Source organism: Homo sapiens, chromosome 8 (assembly GCF_000001405.40).
Source record: "Homo sapiens chromosome 8, GRCh38.p14 Primary Assembly".
NCBI classification, from domain to species: Eukaryota; Metazoa; Chordata; class Mammalia; order Primates; family Hominidae; genus Homo; species Homo sapiens.
Window position 1 is genome coordinate 89560072 of NC_000008.11, and position 6241 is coordinate 89566312.

Consider the following 6241-nt stretch of genomic DNA (forward strand, 5'->3'; position numbering starts at 1 on the left):
TTACCAGCCTCCCAGCATCTAATGTTTCCTCCAAGGGTCTAAAATTCCCCTGTGTTTTTAAACTCAAACCAAGATCATGACACTGCTCTATTCAAAGCCCTCCAGTGCCTTTCAATCTCTTCTGAAATGAAAGCCAAAGTCCTGGCCATTGCTACACAAGGTCCCCTTTGATCTTAGTGGTTCCATTTCCTATCACTCTCTGCCCTCCCTCACTCCATTCTAGACAAACACGTCTTACCTGGCAGCCTTTGAACTTGTGTTTCTACTTGCAAGATTGTTCATATGGCTCTCACTATAGTGAATTCCTATAATTTGTCGACAAAAAGAGTCAAACTCTATGAAATATTTGGAGAGATTTATTCTGAGCCAAGTATGAGTGATCATGACCTGAGGCAGAGTCTCAAGAGGTTCTAAGAACATGTGCCCAAGGTGGTCAGGCTACAGCTTGGTTTTATACGTTTTAGGGAGACATAGGCATCAATTACTACACGTAAGGTGTATATCAATTTGGTCCGGAAAGGTGGAACAACTCTAAATGGGTGGAGGAGGAGCCTTGCCAGGTTATAAGTGGATGCAAAGATTTTCTGATTGGCAATTGGTTGAAAGTTATTATTTCAAGACCTGGAATCAACAGAAGGGAGTGTCTGGGTTAGAAGAAGGCATTATGGAGAACAAGCTTCTTATGCAGATGAAGCCTCCAGGTAGCAGGCTTCAGAGAGAATAGGCTGTAAATGTTTCTTATCAACTTAAAAAGGTGCCAGATTCTTAGTTAATTGTCTCCTGGATCAGGGAAAAGACCTGGAAAGGAAAGGGATGCTCTACAGAATGTACATTTTCCCCATAATAGACAGTTTTGCAAAGACATTTCAAAATATGTCAAAGAAATATATTTTGGGGTAAAATACTTTCTTTGACTTCTTTCAGGGCCTGCAATCTGTGGTGTTGGTATCTTATTGCTACAAATAACCTGTTGTAATGTTAATGCTGGTCAGTTGTGCCTAAATACTAAAGGGAGCAGGGTATAATGAGGCATGTCCAATCCCTTCTTCCCATCATGGCCTGAACTAGCTTTTCAGGTTAACTTTGAAATGCCCTGGGCTTAGAGTAGGGGTCCATTCAGTTGGGTAGGGACTAGAATTTTATTCTTGGTTTACAAATTTTATGTTGCTTTGATATGTATTTTGAATATAAGTTTCACTTTCTCATACCAGAAGCAGGACTCATTTGTCCTTGACACAGTTTCCAGTTACACCCCCCCCTCCCAGTTCCTCTATGTGGTCAGGCCAGATATCACCTTTTACCACTGCCTTTTGGTGACCAACTCTCCAACCTCCCTATGGCTCAGCTAGATACTCCTACTTGATTCGCCCCTCTTATTCCCCACACTCTACAGGCACTGCATAGAAGTGCTGCAATAATCACCTCTCAGTCACTGTGTGACCCCTTGGAATTCATGCCTGTTGCCTTTAAACCCACCAATTAGAAGGTCCCTATAGGAAGCCTGCTTGGGTAACACCCTGAACTCCAGTAAAGACTTTGGTCCCACAGATCCTCTCTTGCTCCCAACTCACTGGTTGAGCAGGCTTGTAGGGGACAACTTCCTCACTCCCTCACCTTCCCTCTGGCCCTGTGAAGCCTGCTGCTTTCTTCTCTTTGGGGGCTGTAAGTGATCAAAATGCTTCTGCCATTTCATGGGTTTTGTTGTGCTGCTTCCTCTGTGTCTCACCTGACTGATACACCCAAATCTAACTTCTTTTCTGTTCAGGGCTAGAATTTATAGCCACTCTCAAATGAGACCTTGAGACCAAATTGGAAGGAAATGATATCTACAAAACAGCCCCTCAGTTTCTTCAGATCTCCGTTCAAGTTTCTGCTTACAGACTTAGGCCTTCTATGACAACTTTCATATGTAACAGCACCCCTTACCCTCTACCCCCTTACCCTGCTTTAGTTTTCTTGAGGGCACTTGTCGTCACCCAACATCATGTGTATTTTCATTGTTGTTCTCCCCATTTTTTCACTGTTCTATTCCCAGCACCTAGAACATCTAACACAATGTGAGTCTTCCATAAGTATTTATCAGATAAGTGAAGAGTCCCTGGCTTTCTCACATGGAGCACTTTCATGGGTGATCTGTCCCAGGCCTGGGACTGAAACTCCATGATGCTGCTTATCCTTCATTCCCAAACCCACTTTTCTACTGGGTCTCTTCACCAGCATAGCCATCCCTCTAGCCCTTGAGGCATTTCTGTTAGACAGAGTCCAAGACTGACTCTCTTACAAATGGGCTTCACATGTGGTCCCCAGAAAACACATTTTAATTCAGCTAATACAGAAAATTTTAGTACCTGAATATGCCAAGCTCTTCTCTGGGCCTCCATATTAGCTGTTTCCTTTGCCTGAGAATCTCCCAGCCTCTACCCATTACCCCAATTTATCCCTCACTCCTCAGATTAAATACCACCTCCTTCAGCGGCCTCTGACTCATTGGCCTAGATTAGGGCCACCTAATGCATTGTTTCTCAAACTTTAATCACCTGGAGGCTTTGTTAGGCGTGTTCCCTGAGCTCCATTTCCAGACTCTGATTGAGTCCATCTGATGGAGTTAGTAAATTTGTGGTTCAAAAAGCTCACAGGTGAGTCTGATAATGATTGTCTAAGGCCTACGCATTGAGAAGCACTAGGTTCTCTGCCTGACACATCCAGCTCACCTTTCACAGCCCACTTTTATTTCACTGCTGTTGAAATCTTCCCTGATCATTCCCAACAATGAATCATCCTCCTCTGTATGGTTTGCCTTGAATTATGGTTAACTGTAACTGCAAAGTATGCATCACACTTTATTATAATTAAATATTTAAACACATTATTTCCAGCAAAAGAGTAAATCCTATAAGTACCTGTAAAGTACTCAACAACAAATAATTTTTTTAAAAACAAGTACCCACTTTGGGGTTGAGGAATATGGAGTTCAGACACGTAAAGTAATTTCCCCAAGGTCACAAAACCACTAAAGATAGAGGCAAGAAGGAAGAATATGGAAAGGAAAGAAACTACTCTAGTTCTAAAAACCCTGAAAGGCAGTGAAAATGCAGCCATTCTAGGACCAAAAATATTGTTACTGGGGGGCCTTGGCATTAACCTGTAGTTGAAAAATCCACAAATGAGTGGAATAGAACTGAATGTGACAGAGGTTGAATTCTGTCACCTCTTCCCTTTTCCCATCTTCCCTTTCTTCCTAGATCCTTCATCCCCATCACACACATGCACCTGCTTCTATGTCAACACTTACTGAGGTCTTGAATACAACCAAGTTGGAATTGCTGATTGAGAAAATGGCTTAAAGGGTACCTGGGAGGTTTCAATTGCCTTGCAAGATATTAGGAACCTCCTCTGTAGAGAAGCTTGTGAGGGCCCCTGAGACATACCTTTGACAGACCCCAAGGAAAAAAAATTAAATTAAAGGAAGTGAGTTGCTCAATGAACTAATACTCCCATTTCCATTTTCCAGAAGTTCATATTTGAAGACTGATGCAAAGGCTTAACAGTCACATCCTGTTTACCAAAGTCATACTACTGTTCTTTGCATTTCAGTGAATCAAAGCCACATTACAGATTTCTGTAAATGGAGGAAGAGATAAATGTATTTAAAATTAAGCTATGTAAATCTATGCTATATGACTATGCTTGGGAAATGCTTAACTCTCAACTCTCATGTGTCCATAATACAGTACAGGAATTTTTACCTCCAGGACGGAAAAATCTGGGAGGAGTTCTAAGCCTCTTTTTCTCTGGCTCCCTAGCTTACTTCTCCTCAGCGACTAATGAGTTTGAAAAGAAAGGGAGTGTATGTGGACTTTTTTTTCTTTTCTTTCTTTAGGACTGGCCTGTCCTCACCCTGTTTATCTCTGCAGTGAACTTACCTTAACATGTTCTGAACCTGCAAGGGGAAGGCCTGCAGTTTGGAGGTGGGGAAGTAAGGTCAATTCCAGGAAATCAATTCAGCCTTATCTATAATAAAGCTGAACATGTTGGTGTCTGAGAGATCCCTGCTCTACTTCTCAACTGACTCTGAAATTCAGGAGAGGGGATGAGGGGATCATTTATTGCACCCCCTAAACCCCAACAGGCCCTCGTGCTTCAAACTTTTGCTCCTCTCAATTTTTTCTCCATTTGCCATTCTCAGCCTGACACATTCAACTCACCTTTCACAGCTCACTTATTTAGTTTTTGTTGAAATCTTCCCTGATCACCCCCAAAATAAAATGAGCCATCCTCCTCTGTGTATAGTCTGCCTGAGTGATGGTAAACTGTGACTGCATCTGTCACCCATATGAGATTATAAACTCTTTGTATATAAGGACTATATTTTACTCCTGTTTGTGTGCATTGAACTACATGGTTCCTTCCCAATACAGTATTCAATGCAATGTCTTTTTCCATTCACTTATCAAATTTTTGCTGACAGTTGGCTATGTATCAGGCTGCTTGTTAGATGCTGGGACACAGACCGAGACAACATAGATACAGGCCCTGCCACCACTTTGTCAAATAAGTACGTTGACCATAATGAGCCCTCAAGAAAGTTCAATTGATTTGCTGCAATAGATGAAGGACGGCTTCCCCCGCCTCAATGTTCACTCAAATTCTGAGGGTTGAATGGGGAAAAATGAGAGATGAAATCTAAGATCAATATTATTTTCTGCAACATCTTTCAGGATATAACACACTACACCTTACAGGATAATTGTTCTGAACTCCTATCGTATGTAGTATTTATTGAGTACTTAACTACGCACCTAGTACTTTATATGAATTATTTACACTTACTCTTCATAACCATACTACCAAGAAACTGATGCACAGGTTGTGAAAAGTAAACAACCACCTAAAAGCAGATTTGAGGTTAATTCTAAAATGGATACTAGATATCACTTAAAATTATGTTATCTTCCATGTATATGTCTCATAGGTACAAGAAAAAGAAATTTTTAAGCATTTGTTTACCTCTAAGAATATTGCACAGATTGATTATTCATTTTAATCCTTCTAACACTGCTCTTCAAAGAAAGTCAGTGTCTATTTTCTAGAGAATCATTCTCTGTATAAGTCAGAGTATAGCCAGGAAAATAAAAGTCAACTCCAAGCCAGGCACAGTGGCAGGCACCTGTAATCCCAGCTTCTTGGGAAGCCAAGGTAGGAGGCTTACTCAAATTCAGTTCAAGTCCAGCCTGGGCAACATATCGAGACCCATCTCTAAAAAATAATAATTATTAAAATAAATTAATTTTTTTAAAGCCACTCCAGCTATTTTGTATAGGAAGAGGTTTAACACACAAAAAAAATTATTACAGAACCATCAGGAAGTGGGAGGGGCAAATGTTAGGAAGAACTCTTTGGGGAAATTCAAAAGAACAGAGGCCAAATGCAGGGAAAAGCTTCCACCAATGGTCTCAACTGCCTGCAATGCCAAAGTGAGAGATTCTCAGGAAGTGCCCACAGCTGCAAGCAAGAACAGTAGCAGCTCTTCTAAAGCAGGCTTCTGCTGCCTTCTAAACTGTGTGCTTGAGACTTCCATTGACAGAATCTAGCTGGCACTCTGCTGGCAAGGGAAAAAGCAGTTTCCAGGCTCAGTGCTGCTGTAGTATAGAGAAAGTTTAAAATGTCAGGGATGGAACTGTAACAATATCTGGTAATTTCTACTCTTTGGATATTCAGTGTCCATTCACAATCTTTGGCCCATCATTAACCTTCCAAACAATAATAATATCAAAAATGCACTTCCAAATAACATAATAAAACTATATCTTATACTAACAAAGACACATGCAAATTCTCTCCCAAAAAAGAAAGACAAAAATTCCCATAAATTGCTGTATCAATGTCTGAGTAATATTCATTTATTTTGTAGCTCAGGCATGACCCCTCTTTGATAGATAATTTATAATGTAAACAATAAATGATAATGTTAATTCCAACCAACACATATCATATAAAACAGTAGAGAAAGGGGGAGAAAGACAAACAGTTAATATATAGAAGTGTATATATATATAAAACAAAGTGAGGATTTAAAAAATATACATAGTTGCCCTTGATTCTGAAACTGTTCCCAAAGTCAGAATTGTTAAATTTTCTTCTACTACATTCCATTTTGCCTTTTGCCTTAACCAGTACTGAAATTTGTCATTGTCAGAAGGCAGTTCATGGATCTCTCACTTTGCTATACATCTTTTGAGAA

General features: G+C 40.3%; 1 annotated feature.

The window, feature by feature from the left end:
* Positions 1418-1477: an enhancer, noted in NCBI's record as "active region_27599". NCBI's record gives its function as "activates an Ori minimal core promoter by ATAC-STARR-seq in GM12878 lymphoblastoid cells {active_cell/tissue: GM12878}" and the evidence as "EXISTENCE:reporter gene assay evidence [ECO:0000049][PMID:35858748]".